This window comes from Homo sapiens, chromosome X (assembly GCF_000001405.40).
Source record: "Homo sapiens chromosome X, GRCh38.p14 Primary Assembly".
NCBI lineage: Eukaryota > Metazoa > Chordata > Mammalia > Primates > Hominidae > Homo > Homo sapiens.
In genome coordinates this window covers 154,136,976-154,159,135 of record NC_000023.11, presented here as the reverse complement: position 1 = coordinate 154,159,135, position 22,160 = coordinate 154,136,976, and the positions used below count along the sequence as shown (strand labels likewise).

The 22,160-nt window shown below is 52.9% G+C and overlaps 1 protein-coding gene across 1 annotated transcript, besides 15 other annotated features; it reads right to left on the bottom strand.

Moving 5' to 3' along the window:
- Window positions 104–14,893, bottom strand: OPN1LW (opsin 1, long wave sensitive). Its single transcript, NM_020061.6, has 6 exons — window positions 14,741–14,893; window positions 8,184–8,480; window positions 6,028–6,196; window positions 4,397–4,562; window positions 2,603–2,842; window positions 104–320 (listed from the first exon to the last, which is right to left on the bottom strand). The coding sequence occupies exons 1-6, from the start codon at window positions 14,850–14,852 to the stop codon at window positions 210–212; spliced, it is 1,095 nt and encodes a 364-aa protein (NP_064445.2). The 5' UTR covers window positions 14,853–14,893; the 3' UTR covers window positions 104–209.
- Window positions 14,850–15,083: a promoter, noted in NCBI's record as "-190 to +41 proximal promoter fragment". NCBI's record gives its function as "promoter for OPN1LW cone pigment gene" and the evidence as "EXISTENCE:reporter gene assay evidence [ECO:0000049][PMID:9579468]".
- Window positions 14,850–21,409: a locus control region, noted in NCBI's record as "6.5 kb full-length fragment from pR6.5lacZ construct". NCBI's record gives its function as "cone cell-specific and mutually exclusive expression of the red and green cone pigment genes" and the evidence as "EXISTENCE:transgenic organism evidence [ECO:0001131][PMID:1524826]".
- Window positions 14,916–14,989: a transcriptional cis regulatory region, noted in NCBI's record as "-96 to -23 positive regulatory region". NCBI's record gives its function as "positive regulatory element in OPN1LW proximal promoter" and the evidence as "EXISTENCE:reporter gene assay evidence [ECO:0000049][PMID:9579468]".
- Window positions 14,917–14,922: a TATA box, noted in NCBI's record as "OPN1LW promoter putative TATA box". NCBI's record gives the evidence for it as "EXISTENCE:motif similarity evidence [ECO:0000028][PMID:9579468]".
- Window positions 14,989–15,006: a transcriptional cis regulatory region, noted in NCBI's record as "-113 to -96 negative regulatory region". NCBI's record gives its function as "negative regulatory element in OPN1LW proximal promoter" and the evidence as "EXISTENCE:reporter gene assay evidence [ECO:0000049][PMID:9579468]".
- Window positions 15,006–15,023: a transcriptional cis regulatory region, noted in NCBI's record as "-130 to -113 positive regulatory region". NCBI's record gives its function as "positive regulatory element in OPN1LW proximal promoter" and the evidence as "EXISTENCE:reporter gene assay evidence [ECO:0000049][PMID:9579468]".
- Window positions 15,023–15,083: a transcriptional cis regulatory region, noted in NCBI's record as "-190 to -130 negative regulatory region". NCBI's record gives its function as "negative regulatory element in OPN1LW proximal promoter" and the evidence as "EXISTENCE:reporter gene assay evidence [ECO:0000049][PMID:9579468]".
- Window positions 17,861–19,425: a locus control region, noted in NCBI's record as "1.6 kb fragment from pR2.1lacZ construct". NCBI's record gives its function as "cone cell-specific and mutually exclusive expression of the red and green cone pigment genes" and the evidence as "EXISTENCE:transgenic organism evidence [ECO:0001131][PMID:1524826, PMID:11773636, PMID:10220452]".
- Window positions 17,980–20,432: a transcriptional cis regulatory region, noted in NCBI's record as "HS106 blue cone monochromat deletion". NCBI's record gives its function as "necessary for expression of the red and green cone pigment genes" and the evidence as "EXISTENCE:mutant phenotype evidence [ECO:0000015][PMID:2788922]".
- Window positions 17,984–18,574: a transcriptional cis regulatory region, noted in NCBI's record as "0.6 kb core LCR region deleted in the pR5.9lacZ construct; identical to the HS102 blue cone monochromat deletion". NCBI's record gives its function as "necessary for expression of the red and green cone pigment genes" and the evidence as "EXISTENCE:mutant phenotype evidence [ECO:0000015][PMID:2788922]" and "EXISTENCE:transgenic organism evidence [ECO:0001131][PMID:1524826]".
- Window positions 18,377–18,412: a protein binding site, noted in NCBI's record as "PAX6 binding to 37 bp LCR core fragment". NCBI's record gives the evidence for it as "EXISTENCE:yeast one-hybrid evidence [ECO:0000066][PMID:10903837]".
- Window positions 18,377–18,412: a protein binding site, noted in NCBI's record as "RX/RAX binding to 37 bp LCR core fragment". NCBI's record gives the evidence for it as "EXISTENCE:yeast one-hybrid evidence [ECO:0000066][PMID:10903837]".
- Window positions 18,377–18,412: a protein binding site, noted in NCBI's record as "RINX binding to 37 bp LCR core fragment". NCBI's record gives the evidence for it as "EXISTENCE:yeast one-hybrid evidence [ECO:0000066][PMID:10903837]".
- Window positions 18,377–18,412: a protein binding site, noted in NCBI's record as "CHX10 binding to 37 bp LCR core fragment". NCBI's record gives the evidence for it as "EXISTENCE:yeast one-hybrid evidence [ECO:0000066][PMID:10903837]".
- Window positions 18,378–18,452: a conserved region, noted in NCBI's record as "conserved region; LCR region that is highly conserved among mammalian species; includes putative binding sites for CRX and GTF2IRD1". NCBI's record gives the evidence for it as "EXISTENCE:sequence alignment evidence [ECO:0000200][PMID:25392503]".

The window sequence follows — 22,160 nt, the reverse complement described above, 5'->3', positions numbered from 1 at the left end:
CGCTCTCTCCTCTTTATCCCCCTTGCACCCTCTCGAGACCCAGTGCCTGCACACGCAGAGGCTCAGGTGGTCCCACACTGCAGTGAAAGCCTCTGTGACTTTGTTGGTTTTGGCAAAGATAAATTACATTTATTTTACAGGGATGGAGAAGGAGGGGGAAAGGAGAGGTGGCCAAAGCCCCGGTGGGCGGGATGGGTAGGAGGCAGACCTCATGCAGGCGATACCGAGGACACAGATGAGACCTCCGTTTTGGAGGCGCTGGAGAGTTCAGAGCCATCGTCAACCTTCTTCCCGAAAAGCTGCAAGATGCAGTTTCGAAACTGGAAGGACAGAAAGCGTTATTGAGCAGAGCAGGGAAGGGTGGAGCACTGTGCTGAATGTACGTGCCCGAGCCTTCCCTTCACCCATTCCGAATCCCATGGGGGATGGAGGAAGGCTTGGATTATTTCTCCCTCACACGCGGGGATGTCATCTGACTTAGCAGTTGATGGTGACTACACTGGGTTGAAGTGGGTCCCCCAAAAGATGTGTTCAGGTTAAGATGAGGTCACACTGGAGCAGGGTGGGCCCTAATCGAATGACTGGTGTCCTGATAAGAAAAGGAACGCTTGGACACGGACACGCAGACAGAGGGAAGAAGGCCACGTGAAGATGAAGGCAGAGACTGGGGTGACACACCTTGGAGTCAAGGAACGCCAAAGACTGCCGGCAGCCCTGCAGCTGCTTCTCCCTCCCGGCCTCCATAGGGAACCTTTCCATTTGCCAACACCCTGATTTCAGACTCAAGATTTCCAGAACCCTGAGAGAATCCATTTCTGTGGTTTGAAGCCACTGAGTTTGTGGTAGTTTGTGACGGCAGCCCCATGACACTCATCCACAGTGACAGCTAAGGGGCAGTGGTGACCTGTCCCCAGACTGTCTGGTGAGCGGCTCGGAGGAATATTAATGAAAAGGCATGTGGTTGTCATGTTTTTTCCAGTCCATGGATCTGGGGCAAGGTGAGGCCTAGGTAATGACAATCTAGCCCCTACCTCATCTCTCCAGCCAAGCGTCTTCCGGTACCAGGAGGGGTCTGTCTTTGCTGCTTCACCCCAAAGAGATCTGGGCCATATGAATGTCTCAAATCATGTCCTGTGTCATCCCTGAAGTAACCACAATGCTTTGAGGACCCAGACCAAAGGCATTTTCTAAATATTTCAGGCCTACTCTTGACTAGCTCTAACTCCCTCTATCATCAAAACTCTCAAAAATAAAAAATATAATGGTTGAAATTAATAACATAAGAAACGGGACAAACAGCAGAATCAGCTCGGCTGAAGAGCTGGGAGATAGGGCTGAGGAATCCATTCAGCAGCTGCTGCTTGAGCACCCACTGTGTGCCAGACTCTGTCCTGAGCAAAATTTGCTGTCTTCATGGAACTGCGTTCCAGAAAATTCTCTCAGAATGTGGCAGGACAGGATAATTATGTGGAAAGGGTAAAAGCAAAGTTCGAGGCCTGGTGAGGTCCAGAAGTGCAGACATCTGTCTCCCCCTGTCCAGGGGGAGTTCTGGAAAGGAGAATGGAAATAATCCAGTAAAGACAGTACTTGGCAAGATAGTTTAGGATTCCAGAAACCTAAAAAAGATCCTCATGAAAGTCAGGAAACAGGGGTCAGGGATAGAACTACACTCTGGGCATCAGTGTGCTACAGCGAGTTCCCGGAAATCCACTGCAGGCCTGGTCCTACTTACTGTTTAAAAGTTACCAGAGAGAATGAACCCTTAATGAACTCTGCAGACTTGGCTTGTGTGAGTCAAAGCTGAGCCAAAGGGGCTGGAGCCATTGAGTGGCTCTAAGATGGAGAAGCAAGGAAGAGCCCAGTGGAAGGGATGGACTGGGCCTGGTGAAATGGGAGGCCTCTGCACACCTTTCTGGCCACCATCAAGTCACATCACAGCTGCGCTTTAATGAAGCCTGTAACCTGCAGGAGGTGGGGGGATTTAGGTGTGTGAGCAGCTTGCTGCTGAGGCCCAATATGCCAGCTAAGGAGGCTGCCTCTGGGCAGGACCACAGCACGTCCCCCCTGAACTAACCCACGAACTCGTGAAAGCTCTTGAACTCTTGGTCAGTGTAGCCAAGGAGGGCCGGCTTTTGTTCTTATAGGAAGACAAATTCCAGAGGTTACGGTTTGAAAATGGAGAGATGAAGGTTGAGAAGGGTCGAGTCTGAACAGAAGAGGGGCACACCTAGGGTGGATGTACCTAGGGCTCACCAACTCCTAGAGCGTCTGAACGCCAGGAGAGCCCCTGAAGCTCGGCAGCCATAGTTCTAGGGCCACCGGAAGGGAAGAGCGCACGGCACACAGACGCTTTGGGAAATGCCACCCTCAGGCCGAGACTATAAAGGATTCCAGAGGGCACACCTAAGCCTTCTGCTAAGGGCCAGCTGGAGCTCTGGCTGGGGCTGGGTCACACGCTGAGCCTTTCCCGGTCATTTCCCTGGAGGGTCCCCCAGATGCTCCGCGGGCTTCTTATCAGAGACATGATTCCAGGTGGGGCCATCACTGCACCCTTCTAGGGCACACGGTATTTTGAGTGGGATCTGCTGATGGTGTTGCTTACCTGCCGGTTCATAAAGACATAGATAACGGGGTTGTAGATAGTGGCACTTTTGGCAAAGTAGGCCGGCAGGGCAGCCATCAAAGGGTGGAAGGCGTAACCAGGGTTGGCAGCAGCAAAGCATGCGAAGAAGGTGTAGGGTCCCCAGCAGACGCAGTACGCAAAGATCATCACCACCACCATGCGCGTCACTTCCTTCTCTGCCTTCTGGGTGGATTCAGACTCTTTCTGCTGCTTTGCCACCTAAGGGAGACAGGGATAGTGAGTCGGGGGTTGGAGGGCAGCAAGAGGCAGGTGACCCAGGCATAGGGAGTTGTGGGGAGGAGGAGAGGAGCCCAGCAGCCATCTTCCAGCCCTGAGTGGAGCACAGCCGGCCCCAGGCAGACATGGCTGCCTCAGGCTGGCCCTGGGGGAGTTCTAGAATTGGAGGTGGCATGCAGCTAGGTGTGGCCTAAGATGACCCCAGAGCTGGATCTAACAAGCTCCTTTGCTTCACCTGATCCCTTAACAGACTGTCCTGTCCTGCGCTCAGGCCTGAGCATGGAGGCCTGATTTGATTGATGACTGGGCGTGGAGAATGAAGGAGTTAACAAGGTGGAGATGGCGGGGGAGGCAAAAGCAGTGGCTGGCGGGGTGCGCGATGGGAGTGTCAGAGCAATGCATACACTTCCCTCAGGCTTCCTAGGCCAGGTTGGCCACTCTGTGGACTAAATCCTGCCCTGGACTCACGGTGAGGCAGCTGAGGGCAGCTTTGGTGGGGTGGCTCCTTCATGCCTGCTGGGAGGAAGGAGACGAATGGCCTCCAGGCAGAGGCACTGTGGGGGAGGCCAGAGGCCAGCCACCACCTGCCAGGGATGAGGGACTGGCGGCAGGCAGATGAGTGGGGATGAGAGAGGGAGTGTGAGGGCTGGAATGCAGGGATGGCTGAGACAGCAGAGCTGGGGCCACATTGTGGAGCTGGGGCTCTACCATCCCAGACTAATACAGCCGAAGCCATGGTTGGGTACCTGTGGGAGCCTTCACCCCAAGGTGACGGGGTGAGGGGGCCTTTCACAGGCTCACAGACTCCTCTAGAGAGAGCTTGGCAGGCATGCCCATCCAATTGTGGGCACAGGCAGCTTCATATAGGAAAGCCAGCACCCTGAAAGGGCTCCCACTGCTAACAGAAAAGAACCAGCCTGGCTCTCCTCCCTTGCTCTGACTTCCTGAAGGGCTCCCAGTGGTAGCCTAGTCTAGGGGTGGGGGGTGACGGCTGTGGACAGGATCAGCTTCCCAGGGCAGAGGGCCAGACATGGAGGTGGAGAGTGGGTCAGGGGGGCAAATGGCACTCTCGGGTCCACTCCTTGGTCGGCCCCACAGCCTATGAAAAGGACAAGGGTACTCCGGTGGCAGCCTCATAAAAACACGCCTTGATTTGCAGGTGTCATTTGCTGATGTGGCTGCTCCACTCTACTCTGTGGGAAAGGCAGCCTTTCCACCCCGGGGAGAACTGTCCAGGGTCGGGGCAAGGCACACCTCTGTTCCCTTAGTGGACTCCTCCAGGGAGGGAGTGGCAGTGCTTTCCCGTCTCACAGAGCTGAGGACAACGGGGCTGGGGCTGAACCTGCAGCCACTGGTACAGTCCCAAAGGAATCACCTGATTCTCATCGCTGGATCTTAATATTTTCTTATAGGGGTAAAATCCTCTTCTCTAAGGATTTTTGGAAAAATAGTTTAGGAGTCTCAGTGGACTCATTTGAGGGCAGAGCAGCTTAGGGGCAGGAGGCGGGTGAGGCCAGGAGGAATCGGGGGGCTTACCGCTCGGATGGCCAGCCACACTTGGAGGTAGCAGAGCATGATGATAGCGAGTGGGATGATGCAGCAGGTGACCATGAGGACAATCATGTAAGACTGCACCCCGGGGTACGAGCTGCCGCTGAACACGTCTGGGCCGCATGAAGTCTTCAGGCCGTGGGGCCAGTACCTGGAGAGAAGGGCCGGCAGCCAGTCCTGATGCAGGGTGGGGTGACCCAGGACCCCCGGCCCAGGCACGGTGCTAACTCGGGTGGGGTTTGTTTTTTTAAATTGAGGTGAAATTCATGTTGCATGAGATTACCCAATTTGAAGTGATCAATTCTGTGGCAGTCACCACCTCTGCTTCCAGAACATTTTCATCAACCCAAAACAAAACCGTTGGGTAGGATTTTGGTTAATCCTTGTCCATTTTTAGATGTCATGCCTTTCTTCTTTTTGAATTGTGGTAAAATACACATAACATAAAATGTACCATTATAGGCCAGGCACAATGGCTCACGCCTATAGTCCCAGCACATTTGGAGGCAGAGGTAGGAGGATTGCTCGAGCCCAGGAGTTCAAGACTAGCCTGGAACACAGTGAGATCTTGTCTCTACAAAAAATAAAAAAAATTAGCTAGGTGAAGTGGTGCATCTGTAGGCCCAGCTCCTCAGGAGGCTGAGGTAGGAGGATCACTTGAGCCCAGGAGGTGGAGGCTGCAGTGAGCCATAATTACACCACTGCACTGTGCCAGCCTGAGTGACAGAGTGAGACCCTGTCTCAAAAAAAGAAAAAAGTACCATTGTGACCTTTGGTACATTCACAATGCTGTGCAACCATCTCCACTATCTGCTTCCAGGACATTTTCATCTTCCCAATCACTCCCCTTCTTTACAAAGGGATTGTGAGGTTCCTTCTTGCCCTGACCTTCTGAGAACACCCATGAAGAGCTGAGTCTTTTATCTGAGGTCAGCTAGGCCATGACTGAAATAAAGGGCCCTGCTCACTTAGTGGCCTGGAGGATTAAATGAGATAACCCGCGGGAGAGCCTCCACCAGGGTCAGCTCACCACACATGTTTGATAACGGGCAGCTGTGTGGGGCATGGCGGCATGAGGAGGGCGGGAGACAGAGACAGGCTTCCACAAGGTTTGTTTCCTAGAATTGTGGAACGTTCTCGAGGAAAGAACATTCCCTCTCCAAACACCACGAGAACTTATTCACGAGCTTGTCGATAAAACAGTGAAATGCTGTCCCACCCAGTCCACTCCAATCAAACATTTGAGCCACTTGCTTGGCCTGGCCAGGACATGTGCTCTGTAGGCCCAGGTGGATCTATGACCCAAGCAGCCTCTGAAAGGTGGGGGGCGTGGTGCGGCAGCGTGTGCAAGAAAGAGACCTGGAATGCAAACACGCTATGCGTTCACTGACAGCTGTGCTGATGGCCTGAGCTCCGTGTGCGCCTGTGACCTGATCGTGCTTGGGATAAATATGTTTCCAGAGGTTCGGGGACCACAGAGCCTTTCCTATGTTGCAGCCACATTCATACATTGATAGACATTGCACGCTCAGAGGGGCCCAGAGAAAGGAAGTGATTTGCCTTAAGGTCACAGAGTCTGACCCTGCCCACTCCATCTTGCGTCCTCGCACCCTTACCTGCTCCAACCAAAGATGGGCGGGGCTGTCCACACAGCAGCCCAGATCCAGGAGAAGGCAATGCCCACGATGGCCAGCTTGGCATCAAATCTCACATTGCCAAAGGGCTTGCAGACCACCATCCATCTCTCCCAGGAAATGATGGCCAGAGACCAGAGACCTGTGATCCCTATGGGGAGAGCAGACAGATGAGGGCTTTGAGCCAAAGCAAAGGTGGGAAGCAAAGCTTCCCACTGTCCTGCTTAGACCCCAAACGTCTGCACACAGAATTCAGGGCTCCACGGACTGAGGTGGAAAAAACGACATCTTTCTTTCCACCAACCTCGAACAGACACTGGGCATTTCCTTCCATTATGAACGTGGCAGTATTAGCAGTACCCGTGACTCGGTCAGCAAGAGAGGTCACAGATGTTTTCCTGTCAATTCATAGAGGTGGCAGAGAGTTCGAATACCACTTATGTTCATCACTACTCTGAAATAACAGTGGTTGTCAGGCGGGATCCTGTTATTTAATACCTTAATACTGAGTGGTGTCACTAATACGTTTAACACATGCTTTTATTTTTATTTACTTTTTGAGACAGAATCTCACTCTGTTGCCCAGGCTGAGTGCAGTGGTGCCATCATAGCTCACTGCAGCCTTGACCTCCAGAGCTCAAGCGATCCTCCCGCCTGAGCCTCCTGAGTAGCTGGGACTACTGGTGTGCCACCACGCCCAGCTGTTTTTATTTGTTGTAGAGAAGAGGTCTCACTATGTTGCCCAGGCTGGTCTCAAACTCTTGGAGGCAAGCAGTCCTCCCACCTCAGCCTCCCAAAGTGCTGGGATTACAGGTATGAGCCTGGCCAGTAAATGCTTTTAACTAAAGACTATGTTACTGATGAATGTTTAATACTTTGATAACTGTATTTCAGTATAATTTGCTGCCTTTGTAATCCTATGGGTCTCATTTTATGCGTTTGCAAAAATTCTCCTGAGATGGGGTCCACAGGCTTCCCAGATGGCCAAGGGCATCCGTGGACCAAAAGTGGTGGGGAAGTGCTGGCTGCTTGGCACCTGACTGACCCAAGAACAGACCATGAGCAGAGGCAAGGGTGAGCGGGAGACCATGGCAGAAACGGAGACAGACGTGGGCGGAGATGCAGGGGGGCACTCGGGAAGGGTCGTGTGACCACCGAGGCCATGCCTGCTGCAGAGAGCACTCGGACCTGGGGATGGACCTTCTCTGCCTGACCTTCCCTTGGCTCCCCTTCTACACTATCGGGGTAGTGCCGGGACTTGGACAAGCACCCTCTCTGGTCTGGGCCATCGTGGGTACAATTTGAGGCAGTTAACGGGGTGGGGTTGGGGAGGCTGCTAAGAGTGGTGGGGAGGCAAGAGCAGGAGCTGCTGCTGCTGGATGTGGGGTCTCCTCCTCCTGAAAGAAAGTCCCAGCTCCTGGGCATGACGTCTGAGGCCTCTGAGACCTGGGCCTGCCCACCTCGTGTCCAGCAGCCACGGCTGCTTGGTGGTACTCTATCCACTCGAACCACAAACTGCTCCCAGCCGCTCCTCCACCACCTGCCCCAGGCCCCTTCTTGTCTGAGAGGACTGATGATGGTACTGTGTGGTTGCCGTCTGGCTATAGGGCCCCCTCCTTAGCACAGAGCCTGGCACGCTAGTACCTCTCGGCCACTGTCTCCTGACCTGAGCGGAATAGTGGCCCACAGAGATATTAGTGATGGGGATGGGGAGAGGATCTGGGAATTGTGTCTCCTCCGGGAAAAGCAGATGCTGGCGAGCTGAAAGAGCAGGCATCCCTAATTGCAGGGGAGTTCTGTCCAGGGTGCCCAGAGTCCCCGCCCCCCTACTGTTCTGGGGTTGTCTAGCTCTGTATCTGTCTCCTCCCACACCAGCCCCACAGCTCCAAACTGGCTGTCCCCGGGCAGAGCCTGACTCAAGAGTAGGAACTCAGGGTATGTTTGACTCAAGGGAGCTGAATTTAATGTGAGTGTTCAGATGGAAGCCTCCAGAACCCTTCAGTATATGGATGTGAGGCGCAGATGGGGAGGGAGACAGGCCTACAGGAGCAGCTGGGCCCCGATCATCATGAGGTGGCTGGAGGAGCTTGCAGGGTGAATGAGTGGTTTCCGCCGAGCCTGGGCCCCGACTGGCTTACCACACAGGGAGACGGTGTAGCCCTCCAGGACACACATAGGGTGGCCCAGCACGAAGTAGCCAGAGACCTGGTTCACAATGCTGATAGTGCTGGCGATGACGGTCTCTGCTAGGTCAGCGACCGCCAGGTTCACCAGGATCCAGTTCAGCGGGTGGCGCAGCTTCTTGAACTTCATGGTGGCCGCCAGCACAAGCCCATTTGTGAAGACGGATGCAGTGACCACAAAGATCATCCAGACACTGGTGAGGTGGTACACCCATCTGGGAGCGATGTGGTAATTCGGGCCTTCGAAGGGGCCTGAGGGCAGGAGGCAGAGGAGAGAGAGGAGCTGGGCTGCAGCACCGCCTGTCTATACCAGTGCTGATCCCACCTCTCCCCTCCCCCTTCCGCCCTCCTGCCTTTGCAATTGGCTGTTTCCCTCCAGCTTTGTCCATCCTCAGACAGTCTCCCCTCCATCCTGTCCCTCAAGCCAGAGACCATCGCCCGCTGGTCACTGGCACTGGCATCTTGAACTTAACAGAACTCCTCATCGTCTCCTCCATCTGATTCCCCACTCCCAGTGTGCAGTCACCCCACTTCCCTGCTCCCCTCTTCCCTTTGCCCCAGCCCCACCTCCTACCTCCCACAGTCCTCTGCCCTTCCATAGAGAAACGCTTGCCTCCTGTAAAGCCCAGCTCATATGCATTTGCCTTCCAGAAGATTCCCCAGCTAGTGGCAACTCACCCCCTTGAGGGGAAGACCACTACCCACCTCTGTCACCTTCTGTCACACATAGGAGTTACTGTTCATGATGATCTGAATGTACGTGCCCCCCATAAATTTCTGTGTTGAAATCCCAACCCCCAAGGTGATGGTATTAGGAGGTGGGGCCTTTGGCAGGTCATTTAGGTCATGTGTGCAGAGTGAGTGGGGCCCTCATGAATGGGATTAGTGCCCTTATAAAAGAGGTCCTAGAAGCTGGGCATGGTGGCTCACGCCTGTAGCCCCAGCTACTCAGGAGGCCAACGTGGGAGGATCACTTGAGCCTTTGGGAACAGCCCAAATTAGCTGGGAATGGTGGCTCATGCCTGTAATCCCAGCACTTTGGGAGGCTGAGGCTGGAGGGTTGCTTGAGCCCAGGAGTTCAAATCCAACCTGGGCAACATGGCATGCCCATGTAAAAAAAATTTTTTTTTAATTAAAACAAACAAGAAAAAGAGTCCCTAGAGTGCTCTCTAGCTCTCTTTCTTCCATGTGAGGATACAATGAGTTGTTGGCAATCTGCAGTCAGGAAGAGGGTCCTCGCCAGAGCCCACCACGCTAGCACCCTGACTTCCAGCCTCCAGAGCTGTGAGAAATAAATTTATCATTTAAAAGCCACCCAATCTATGGTAATTTCTCTTTTATTCTTTTCCTTTCTTTCTTTTCTTTTTTTTTTTTTTGGGACAAAGTCTTGCTCTGTCACCCAGGCTGGAGTGCAGTGATGTGATCTCGGGTCACTGCAACCTCCGCCTCCTGGGTTCAAGCAATTCTCCTGCCTCAGCCTCCGGAGTAGTAGCTGGGATTTACAGGCACCCACCACCACACCCAGCTAATTTTTGTGCTTTTAGTAGACATGGGGTTTCACCATGTTGACCAGGCTGGTCTCAAACTCCTGACCTCAAGAGATCCTCCTGCCTTGTCCTCCCAAAGTACTGGGATTGCAGGCATGAGCCACCATGCACAGCCTGGTAATTTATTTTTCTTTTCTTTTTTTTTTCTTTTTTTTTGAGACGGAGTCTTGCTCTGTCACCCAGGCTGGAGTGCAGTGGCACGATCTCGGCTCACTGCAAGCTCCGCCTCCCAGGTTCACGCCATTCTCCCGCTTCAGCCTCCTGAGTAGCTGGGACTACAGGCGCCCGCCACCACGCCTGGCTAATTTTTTCTATTTTTAGTAGAGACGGGGCTTCACCATGTTAGCTAGGATGATCTCAATCTCCTGACCTCGTGATCCGCCTGCCTCGGCCTCCCAAAGTGCTGGGATTACAGGCGTGAGCCACTGCGCCCGGCCACAGCCTGGTAATTTCTTATAGCAGCCAGTACTGAGACACAAGTACAAGTCTTGTCTTTCTCACCAGAGACTTTGACTCATTCATCCTCACAGAGTGTCCAGCACACAATAGATGCTCAGAAAATAAATGAATGAGGAAATTAATCAATGAATGTGTTATGAGTTGAATTGTGTCCCCACCCAAATTCATATGTTGGAGTCCTAACCCCAATACCTCAGAATGTGACCGTTTTCGGAGATAGGGTCTTTACAGAAATGACCAAGTTTAAATGAGGTCATTAGGGTGGGCCCTAATCCAATATGACGGCTGTCCTGATTATGATTATGATTATTATATATTTAGAGATACAGTCGGCTGGGAGCGGTGGCTCACGCCTGTAATCCCAGCACTTTGGGAGGCCGAGGGGGTGGATCACTTGAGGTCAGGAGTTCAAAACCAGCCTGGCCATGGTGAAACCCCGTCTCTACTAAAAATACAAAAGAAAAAAAAATTAGCTAGGTATGGTGGTGGGCGCCTGTAGTCCCAGCTACTCAGGAGGCTGAGGCGGGAGAATCACTTGAACCCAGGAGGCAGAGGTTGCGGTGAGCTGAGATCACGCCACTGCACTCCAGCCGGGGTGACAGAACAAGACTCCGTCTCAAAAACAACAACAGCAACAACAACAACACCAAATAGAGATAGAGCCTGGCTCTGGCACCCAGGCTGGAGTACAGTGGCACAATCATAGCTCACTGCAACGTGGAACTCCTGGGCTCAAGCGATCCTCCTGGGCTCAAGCGATCCTCCTGCCTCAGCCTCTCGAGTATCTGGGACTACAAGCCGTGCATTACCACAATGGCAATTTTTTTTATTTCTGTAGAGATGGGGTCTGGCTATGTTGCCTAGGCTGGTCTCGAACTCCTGACTTCAAGTGATCCTCCCACCTTGGCCTCCCAAGTAGCTGGGACTACAAACGAATTATTTCTCCTTTTTCTTCTGTAGGAGTTTGCTAGGGCTCTACACCTTTTGTGTTGGAAGGACCTTCGTCATAACATTGTTTTTGGCAGATTACTTGAAGGGATTGCAAGCCACAGACCTGCTGCCATATAAGGCCTCATGGAGAGTCCCAAGGTTTATCAAGAGATTCTTTAGCTGTGTGTTAGAAAAGCCCAACTCAAGCTAGCTTAAGAAAAATGGGGATTTCCTGGCTATGGCCAGGAGAGACAGATAAATCTCACCCCTAGCACAGCTGGATCCCACAAGGCCTCTGCTGCCCTCTGTGCACGGGCCCCATATGTTCCTAACACAAGGAGCTTCTGGAAACCCACAGACAATGTCTGCAATCCCGATACCTGGCACTGGCTCCCCAGGAACCCCCAGTATGAGCAGCAGGGACAGACCATTGACAATTGAAGACCTGCATGGCGTCAGTCTCCGTGCAGAAGGAAGCAGAGGGGAGCAATGGGGTTGCTGATGGACCTAAGAACAGAGAACCCCCAAACTGTCGGCAGCTCTTCCCTGGGAAGTACCTTGGGTGAACTGGGGAAGAGCAGCTGAGACTGGGAGGGTTTGGGACACTCTGGCCTGCAGGCAAGTGCAAGGGGCTGGAGCAATCTAGGTGCTACGACCTCTGAAAACAAGGCAGCCAGTGCCCTTCCCTGGCAACCCTTGCGGTCCAAATTGGGCAGTGCAGGGACAAGGGGGCAAAGGAGAGAACAGGTCCCAGCAGCAGTGGGGGAGGGGACAGGAGCTGCCACCAGTGTAACTAGAGCTGGTGTCATGGCCTACCCCTCCCTCCTGAAAGTTCTGGAACTGAATTTCATGAAGCAATGAGCAAGAGAATCAAAGTCAACTCCCAGGCAAAGTGATTCGAGGAAATACAGGCAGGTAGGGAAGGGGCGGTCGGTGGTGGCGCAGAGAAGCCAGACTTCTTCAAATACACCTTCTTTTCTAGATTTTAATTTGAGACTTTTAACTGTTTTATTACATAATTATAAAACAAAATTTAAGTGGCCGGGGGCGGTGGCTCACACCTGTAATCCCAGCACTTTGGGAAGCCGAGGTGGGCGGACGACTTGAGGTCAGCAGTTGGAGACCAGCCTGGCCAACATGGTGAAACCCTGTCTCTACTAAAAATAAAAAAAATTAGCTGGGCGTGGTGGCGGGCACCTGTAGTCCCAGCTCCTCGGGAGGCTGAGGCAGGAGAATCGCTCGAACCGAGGAGGCGGAAGTTGCAGTGAGCTGAGATCGCGCCACTGCACTCCAGCCTGGGCGACAGAGTAAGACTGTCTCGAAAAAATAAAATAAAGTAAAATAAAAGTTTAAATTTACAGAGCAATCTCTGAAAATCAGCAACAAAAGAAATGAAGCTAAATGCATATCCACTGAGTGGCATATCACTTAGAGAGGGACTATTCTAAGGGACTGGAAACACACCGGTTTACTACACAACCTAGTGGCATATACCCTCAGGGTAAGAAGACCTGTGAAGATGTTAAGGTTTTGGTCACCAATAGGTGAAGGCAGGGTAAGGTGTCCGAATGCCGTCATTTTCCATCCCCAGTGGTTTAATTGGTCTGGGCATTGAGTTTCAGTAGCTGCCAACACCCCAGAAAAGAGACACTCTCCTTGCCAAAACACACCAACAAATCCAACCTACCTCTGGCCAGATCCTCAGATCAACTACCAATTTACAGAAAAATCATAATGAACAACGTCAGAGGGGCCTGTTAGGCTACGTCATGAACGACTTGCTTGCTTCCACAAATAAATTGCAGGGAGATAGAAAGGGAACCTCTAGATTCAAAGGTAGTCAAAAGGCATATCAGTCAATCTGAATGTGTGGACCTTATTTGAGCCCTGATTCAAGCAGACTGAAAATACGTATGACATTTTTTGAACACTACTAGGATATTTGAAGCTATTCAGGAAATACTGTTACACTTGTCGGTGTGATGATGACTTGTGGTTATGTATTGAGAAGAGCCCTTTTCTCCTAGAGGAACATAGTAAAGATTTACAGAGGGAAGGGTGTGATGTCTTGGATTTGCTTCCAAGAATCAGGAAGAAAGGGTAGTGGAGGGGTCACAGATGAAATGAGATGAAACCGTGGAAGCTGAGTGATGGGTACCGGAGTTCATTACACTCCTCCCTCTACTTTAGTAGATGCTTGAAGTTTTGTGGAAAAAAAAAAAACCCACCCCGACATTTGAAAAGAGTGCACTGAAGCATCATGCATTGATGAAGTCTGGGGGCATCTAGGAAGAGACTGTTGACATTGCCACCAAGGAAATTCTGGGCACAGTCATGTTGAGGTCAACTGCAAGATCCTCATCCGGTTTGGTCTGGGCACTCTGTCACTAATTGGCACTCGGTCCTGGCCACCCCACAGCGGGATGTTTATTGGCAATCAAGGAGCTGGCGTGGCTTCTGGAAACCACAGCCTGCACGATGTTGTTGTTTTTTGTTTTGTTTTGTTTTGAGACAAGAGTCTCACTCTGTGGCCAGGCTGGAGCATAGTGGCGTGATCTCGGCTCACTGCAACCTCCACCTCCCGGGTTCAAGCGATTCTCCTGCCTCAGCCTCCTGAGTAGCTGGGACTACAGGCATGCGCCACCAAGCCCAGCTAATTTTTGCATTTTTAGTAGACATGAGGTTTCAGTATGTTGGCCAGGATGATCTCTATCTGTTGACCTCGTCATCTGCCCGCCTCTGCCTCCCAAAGTGCTGGGATTACAGGCGTGAGCCACTGTGCCCGGCCTGCACGATGTTCTTGAAGGCACCAAAGGAATTTGGTTTGGAGGAGGGACCTGGGGAGAGGGCCAGGAGTGGGGCGGTCACTGGTGTCCTCAGCTTCTTTGAGGGCCTGCGTGCAAAACTTTCGGATTGGGCAACTCCCAATGGCAGGACTCGGGCTGCCCTGATGAGAGCTTTCAGCTTTCTGTTGGGCCTGAGCCCTCTCTCCCAGGACGGCTCCGAATGGAAAGATGGCCCTGGGCGCCAATGCAGCCTCTTCCCCCAGAGGTGTGCAGCCAAAAGCCAAGTGGCCCCATCATGGAGTTTGACAAAATGACTGCTACAGGCTTTGCCGACCCTGAAGTTCTAGAAGTTTCTTGCCCTCTGCTGCTGTCTTCCCCACCCTCCCGCCTCCCTTGGGTGTGTCAGTATGTTGCCTCCTTTCGGCTTCAAATGTAAAGACAGACCCAGCTCTTCCCCAGGAAGCTGAGGGACTCCGTGGAATGAGAGGTCATTCGCTAGCAGTGAACACACTCATCTACGGGCCACAAAGAAAGAGCACATAAACTCTTCCCCGGCCTCGGATTCTCAAAGGGGCTGGGAAGCCTGTGTGGCTTGAGAATGCATATTCGATATTATGGTGTCCTTCTAGATTTGGAGAGGACCCCCCAATTCATGTCATCAGAAAAGCTATGGGAGAAAGCCTTCTCTGCTGGTGGGGACGTGCAGAAGAGAGATTCCCTTGGGCGGGGCAGGTGGGTGGCCGGTGGCCCCCAGTGCAGCCACCCAGCCTCCACGGGCCTGCTGGCTCACCTCTGGTGGAGTTGCTGTTGGTGTAGGTGAAGATGCTGGACTGGGTGCTGTCCTCATAGCTGTCCTGCGGATGGCGGCCTGCGAGCCTTTGGAGGCTCCACTGCTGGGCCATGGCTATGGAAAGCCCTGTCCCCGACGGCAGCCGGCCCTGGCGCATCACCTGAGGGTCACGGCGCTTTATACTGGCCTGTGGGATCAGCCCGGGCCTCTTCACCTTAAAAGCTCCCAAACCCTACACTACCTGATCTCTTAATTGGGCCTGGGACTTAGACCTCCTCCTCCCACCTCTTGCTCCCCTGCTCCTGAGGCGAGCCCGCAAGGGCGGCTCAGAGGGATTTGCTGGGAACCAAACTCAGACGCCCCACCCATCCCCGCCAGGAAGGTGGCGGTGACTGTGGGAGCCGCTGTGGCCCTCTCTGTGTTTATGTGTTCTCTGTTCCCTTCTACTGTCCTGCGTCCGCCTTTGGGGCAGGTGGACCCACGGGTCAGGATTTGCAGACTGGGGGGTGGGTGGTGAAACTGCTCAGAGCCCGAATCCTCCTTTCTCATGTGGTTCTCTTGAAAGCCCAGGGAGACTATTTAGGGCCGAGGCCTGGAACCGGATCCTCCTTGCGAGGCCAGCCATGTCCGTGGGCCCAAACGGGCGAGATTTGTGCCGGGGGGCTCCTCCTCCAGTGTAGGGGGGGCAGACTGACTGCGCACATCCTGCTGTTGGCTTCCCTCCTCCCCCTTGCCCCCCATGAGCTGTAGGTCCTTTGGCCGCCAGGGTGCACATGCAGTGCCCACATCAGCCCACGGCAGCGCCTGCTCACGTCTCCCTTGCCCTGAGTTCACAGCCTTGCCTTGGGCTTCACCAACCACAGGCCCCCCGTCGACAGAGTGTCCAGACAGGCCATCTCTGCTGTCCCTGTGTCCCCACGCTTCGCAGGGGCACGGATGACCTGTTAGTGCCCAACTCCGTAGCCTCGCCTCAGTTTCCAACCAACGGGCCCTGTCCCCTCCACGGCCCACCCGCCCCAGCGCCTCCCCAGGAGCACATCCCCTTTCACGGCTTCCATCAGCTCCCAGCTCCTCAGTCCCCAAATCCAGCTCCTTCCAGGTACCTCCTTTTGGGTTTATTCCTTAAGCTTAGGAAAGCCAAGGCGTGAGCTTGTGGCCTCTTGTCCCTGTTCTCAGAGCCACGATTCTCCAGCATTCCTGGCTCACACTTACACTCCTGGCAGCATGGCTTCTGCTGCAGGCACAAGGGGGCCCTGGCTGCCAAGCTGAAGGCCAGGGCTGCATGGAGCCCCAGCCTGGCTACCCATAGCAAGAATGGCTTTTAACATCTGTCGCTGCCTGCCACGTGCTAGGTGCCAAGCTAGGGGCCCCATGTGGAAGAGAAGACGAGTCCTGGCCACAGACTTGCCAGGGCCCATTCACAGCCTAGAAAGGTGAGCTTTTTCCCCAACTCTGGCACTTCTACACCTGTGTACCCAAGAGACTTGAAAATGTGTGTCCACACAAAAACCCGTACATGAATACAAACAGAGCACTGTTCCCAACAGGCCACATGGTAGAAGCAACCCAAAAGTCCAGAAGCAGATGAGTGGGTAAAAAGTGGCCTGTCTGTACAATGGAGTATCATTTGGCCATAACAGGGAATGAAGGGCTGACCTACGCTACAACGTGGATGGACCTGGAGAACAGCATGCTCAGTGAGCGAAGCCAGACACAAAAGACCACGGAGCGCATGGCTCCATCTCTGTGAAATGCTTAGATAGGGCAATCCAGAGACACACAAAGCAGAGGAATGGGTGCCAGGACAGGGGAGGGAGGGAAATGGAGGATGACTTCTTAATGGGTACAGGGAGTGCTTTATGGGTGATAAAAATGTCCTAAAATTGGATTGTGATGGCGCAGCCACTGTGGAAAACAGTTTGGCAGCTCCTCCAAAAGTTAAACGTAGAATTCCCATAGGACCCAGCAACCGCACTGCTGGGTATAGGCCCAGAGGAATGGAAGGCAGGGTCTGGAAGGGCTGTTTGCACACGCATGTTCACAGCAGCGTGATTCACAACAGCTGAAACATGGAAGCAACCCGTGCCCATCAATGGGCAATTGGGCTGGACATGGTAGCTCATGCCTGTAATCCCAGTTCTTTGGGAGGCCGAGGTGAGAGGATCACTTGAGCCCAGGAGTTCGAGACTAGCCTGGGCAACATAGTGAGACCCTGTCTCTACAAAAAATACAAAAATTAGCAGGGCACAGTCGCAGGTGCCTGTAGTCACAGCTACTTGGGAGGTAGAGAGGCGGGAGGATTTCTTGAGCCTGGGAGGTTGAGCCTGCAGTGAGCTCTGATGGCAAGACTGTCTCAAAACAAACAAACAAATCAACAAACATCAACGGATGATTAGCTACACAAATTGTGGTCTATACAGACGATGGAATATGATTCACCCTTAAAAAGAAATGAAGTTTGACACATGCTCCAACATGGATGACCCTTGAGGACATTGCTCAGTGAAATGAGCCAGTCACAGGAGGGTAAATACTGTAAAATTCCACTTATATGAAGGGCCTAGAGTGGTCAAATCCATAGAGACAGACAGTGGAAGGGTGGGTGCCAGGGGCTGGGGGGTGGGGAGTTGGGGTTGAACGGGGCCAGAGCTTCAGTTTGGGAAGATGAACAAGTTCTGCGGCTGGATGGTGGTGATGGCTGCACAGCACCGTGAATAGACTAAAAACCACCAAGTGCCTTTCTTCCTCTTATTTGTTTTTAGGGCCTAACTCCTAAAGAGGTCCCTCCTGCAGAAAGACCTCCCTGATGGCCTTGGCCTTGGGCCCCTGCTCTGAAGTCCCCTCTCGGACTGCATCCTGCCTCTGTGGCAGTGCTTCAGCTGGGACCCCTTGACTTTCCACCCTGGCTGCCAGCAGCATGGTGTGTGCCCCGCACTCCTTGGCAAGATGGAATGGTCACTGTCCCTGTTCTGTGGATGAGATGCCTGAGGTGGGTTCAAAGTATAGATCTGCTGAAACAGTGTCAAGACTCTAGAACTCAATCCCAAGTGACTTCCAAGGGTCCCTCTTCCCGGGTCCAAGAGAGCTTGGTCTGCCTGTCCCCACCAGAGTCAGAGGATCCGAGGATCCAAGAATGTGAGACCCAGAAGTGAGCCTCCTCTGAGATCACCTGCCCCACCGGGTCCCTTCTGAGGGTGGGATGGCTGGCCAGCCTTGTCCCATTACCGCCATGAGCTGGCTGGGTGGCCTTGAACAGGGCGACCTCTCCCTCTTGACCGAGATTCCCCTTCTGTCTAGAGGGAGATAAGCAACTCTGAGGCTTCCCTGGGCATCCAAGGCCACCATGCTATTTGGAAGCCCTTTGAGAACACGAAGTGCCCTATGAAGTGGGGGTCCAGCAGAGGAGGAGTGGGGTGTCTGGGGGAAGCCCCCAGCCTTGCCTGAGCCCCGGAGCTGGCCCTCCGCTCGCCCTGTCTGCCCTTGTCCAGGATTACGCTAATGACCCAGCTCAGTGCAATCCCACCAATGCCCTGGGCCACACGTGTGCCAGCCCCCACATCCCAGGAAGGAGAGTGGAGGTGGCAGAGGTGGGAGGAGGCCTGGAAAGGCGGTAGGTTCTGCACCTTCACCGGCTCTGCTAATTGATGATTAGGGCTAACAGAAGATCAAGTCCCATTTTAGCCTAAAGCAGATTACTGTCCTAGAAAGTCACTCAGCACCTGTGGGGGCACGTGTGTCCCCAGGCCAGGTGAAAACTCATTTGTGGTCCCACACTCTTGCAGAAGGGTGGATGAAAGTGGAGGGAGCACTAGAGAAGGATATGAAGAACGAGGGGGTGAGGGGGTGGGATGGGGGGAGAGGAGCGGGAGCAGTGGCGGCCCAAGAAAGCCCCAAGGAAAGAGGGCCCCTGGGGAAAGGCCAGAGGGACCCAAGCCAGGCCGGGCCCCAATGTCAGCGCCCTCTGCTCTGCCCGGAGTCTCCCACCCTCGCTGCCAGCTGGGGCCCTGGCCAGGGTGGAAGATTAGATGTTGGACTTGTCTCTAATGCGACTACTCCTAAATGACTCCACGCGGGAGAGCCGATTAGGAGTTATGGGGGCTGCTGTCATCTTGACTCAGGGGCTTTGTCACTAACAGCCGATGGCTGCTACAGCTATAGGACAAGGAACCATTTGGCCATTTGCCTTTGACACTTTAAAAAGATCGTGGTAAAATATACATAATACAAAGTGTACCATCGCTACCGTGTGTAAGTGTATAGTCCAGTCACCACCATCCGTCTCCAAACTCTTTTCATTGCATGAAACGGAAGCTCTGTCCTCATGAAACACCCATGCCCTTTCCCCACCCCTCAGCCTCCTGCACCCACCCTTCTATTCCTATGCATTTGGGAGCTCTGAGTGCAATCCTACGGGTGCATGGCCTTCTGTGCCTGGCCCGGATCACTTATCCGTTGCCTTTGTGTATTTGGAATGGATATCCAACCATTGGATTTTCATTTTTGTGTGGTTAAACATCATTTGTTCCCTTTTTGACTTCTGACCTTCCTACCTCGTTTGAAGAGGTCCGTAAACGCACACCGTACTCCGCCCTCTGCCCCAGCTGCCGGGCTCTCCACACTTGCCAAGGCCCCCTACTCGGTACAGTCTTGATATTCTCAGCTCAGCCTCATAATCTCACCCTGGCTGCTGTAGGCCTCCTAAGTCCCTGCCCGTCCAGCCGCTCTAAGTCACAGAGTGTGAATGTGGCACGTCCACCCTCTGTGTCCTTGAGCGTGGTGGTCACTGTGTCCTCATCAGGAAGATGGGGATAACATTTACTTGCTGTAAGGCTTAAATAAGATCATCCTTTTAAAGAGTCTTAGCTCAGTCTTTGGTACAGAAAACTCAGCCAATTATTCATTCAGTGGGTACTTATTAGGTACTTTTGTACCTGTTCTAGGTCCCGGGATGCAGCTGCAGATGGAGATCCCGTGCTCCGCAGCTGCAGCTGCCTTTCTAGTTGGGGGAGATGAGTAGGATGGAGAACAGAAAAAGGAAGACAGGAGGGTGCGGGTGCCAGGGTGGGAAGGGAGTGGATGCCCACTTTCGAAGGGCACCAGGGTGAGCCCCTCTGAGAAGGGGACATGTGAGCAAAGACTCGAGGGAGGGAGGGCAGGAGGGAGCCATGCAGAGATCCAGGAGGGCATCACAGGAGAGGGGCAGCAAGTGCAAAGGCCCTGGGGCAAGAGCGTGGCTGGCCTGCTCCAGGACCAGCAAGGATATCAAGATGGCTGGAGCGAGAGTGGGGTTGGTGAATAGGAGGAGGAAAGGCTGCATGGCGGGGCCCTTCTCACTCTGAATGGAATGAGGAGCTTTGTCGGATTTTGAAAGAAAAAGTGACGCAATCTGAAGTTGATTCGGATGGACTCCTCTGGCAGCTGTCTGCGAGCTGTAGGGGCCAGGGCAGAAGCGGGGAGACCAGGTCTGGGAGGCGACAGTAGGGTGGTAAGAGGTAGCAGACTCTGGAGAGCTTTTGTAAGTGGAGTCAACAGGATTTCCTGGTGGCTTAGGTGGAAGCAGCGAGAGGACAGGAGGAGTTGCCCTCAGCTGAGAAGTCGAGGTTGTGGGCATCAGGCATCCATAAATAACGAACATGGGGACTGGCAAGGGGCCCTCGCCTCACAGCCATTGACATCCTTCACAGATCCTGACTAATGTGAACATTTGGATGGAATGGACAAACTTTTAGGAAAACACAACTTACCAAAATGGGCTCAAGAAGAAAGAATCAGAAGAGTTGAAGTCGCTGAACCTTTCATGTCAAACCTGCCCACAAAGAAAGGGTCCCTGTTCCGTTTCTGACCTTTGCCCAGGTTGACATTGATTCTGAGCCTGTCATGTCTTTCTTTCTTTGTTTCTGACATGTCTTTTTTTTTTTTTTTTTTTGACGTGGAGTCTCACTCTGTTGCCCAGGCTGGAGTGCAGTGGCGCGATCTTTGCTCACTACAACCTCTGCCTCCCGGGTTCAAGCAATTCTCCTCAGCCTCAGTGTCCTGAGTAGCTGGGACTACAGGCATGCACCACCATGCCCGGCTAATTTTTTCTTTGTATTTTTAGTAGAGACAGGGTTTCACCATGATGGCTAGGCTGGTCTCGAATTCCTGACCTCAGCTGATCCACCTGCCTTGGCCTCCCAAGGTGCTGGGATTACAGGCGTGAGCCACCGCACCCGGCCATTGCCTTGTATTTTTAAATTGGTTTTTCTTCTTTGACTTGAAAAAAGTCTTATTTCCAAATCTGATCCACCTTTACAATCTAGTCCAGAGAATTTCCACTGTAATTAAACTATTTACTGTTTAGTTATAAAGAGCCTTCAAAAAGATATATCCCCCAAAGCCTGTCATAAAAAAAAATAACTATCTGATTCCATTTATATGAGGTTCCTACAGCAGTGAAATTCAGTGAATAGAAAATCAAAAAGTGTGAGCTAAACTCCAAGCAGGCCCACCAAGTATTTGTTTGGCTTTGAGCCAGTGCCAGTCACGTCTTCTCAACCTAATGGAATTTTTTGTCGTTGCCCACCGGAGGCCCAGATGGACTCTCAGCTGGGAGCAGGTGGGTGGGAGGGGGACTCGCCTTGAACCTCCCATTGAGAGCCTGCCTGCTGGGTCTGTGCTCCCCTCCCCATGGCAGGCTTCTCTTCTCACGTCGTATTATGTTCCAACTGGGTTGTTCATATCGTAGGACAAAGAAAATAAGGAATTTGTGACTGGGCCCAATGGCTCACGACTGTAATCCCAGCACTTTGGGAGGCTAAAGTGGGAGAATCGATTGAGCCCAGGTATTGGAGACCAGCCTGGGTAACATAGTGACACCCCATCTCTACCAAAAATTTAAAAACTTAGCTGGGCGTGGTGGTGCACACCTGTGGTCCCAGCTACTCAGGAGGCTGAGGCAGGAGGATTGCTGGAGGCCAGGAGGTGGAGGCTGCAGTGAGCCATGATCCTCCAGCCTGGGCCATACAGCAAGACCCTGTCTTGAAAAGAAAAGAAAAGAAAAGAAAAAAAGAAAAGAAATTCAAATTCACTTCATGGTCCTGATCTTCACTGTAAGCGGAAGGAGAGAGACATAATGGGCCATGTTAATTGAAAACTGCATGCCTAGATTTCTTTATTAAACGCATGTTTCCTAGCACTGTCCAAAAAAAAAAAAAGTGCGAGGCGAATCCGGAGCAAGGCTGCGGCTTCGGAAACGGCTGGGCAAACGGCCGTGGGACCCGGAGCCCCAGAACAGCTCCCAGCGGTGAGCTGAACGCCTCTGCGAAGCCCCTGCCTCGGGCCCTGTGCAACGCTTTTTCCGGTGAGCGGCGGCGGCGGCTCGGTCCTCTTGCTCTGTGGGTCGCTTTGCTTTGTCTCAGTGCCTTCCGCACTTTGGCCTTTG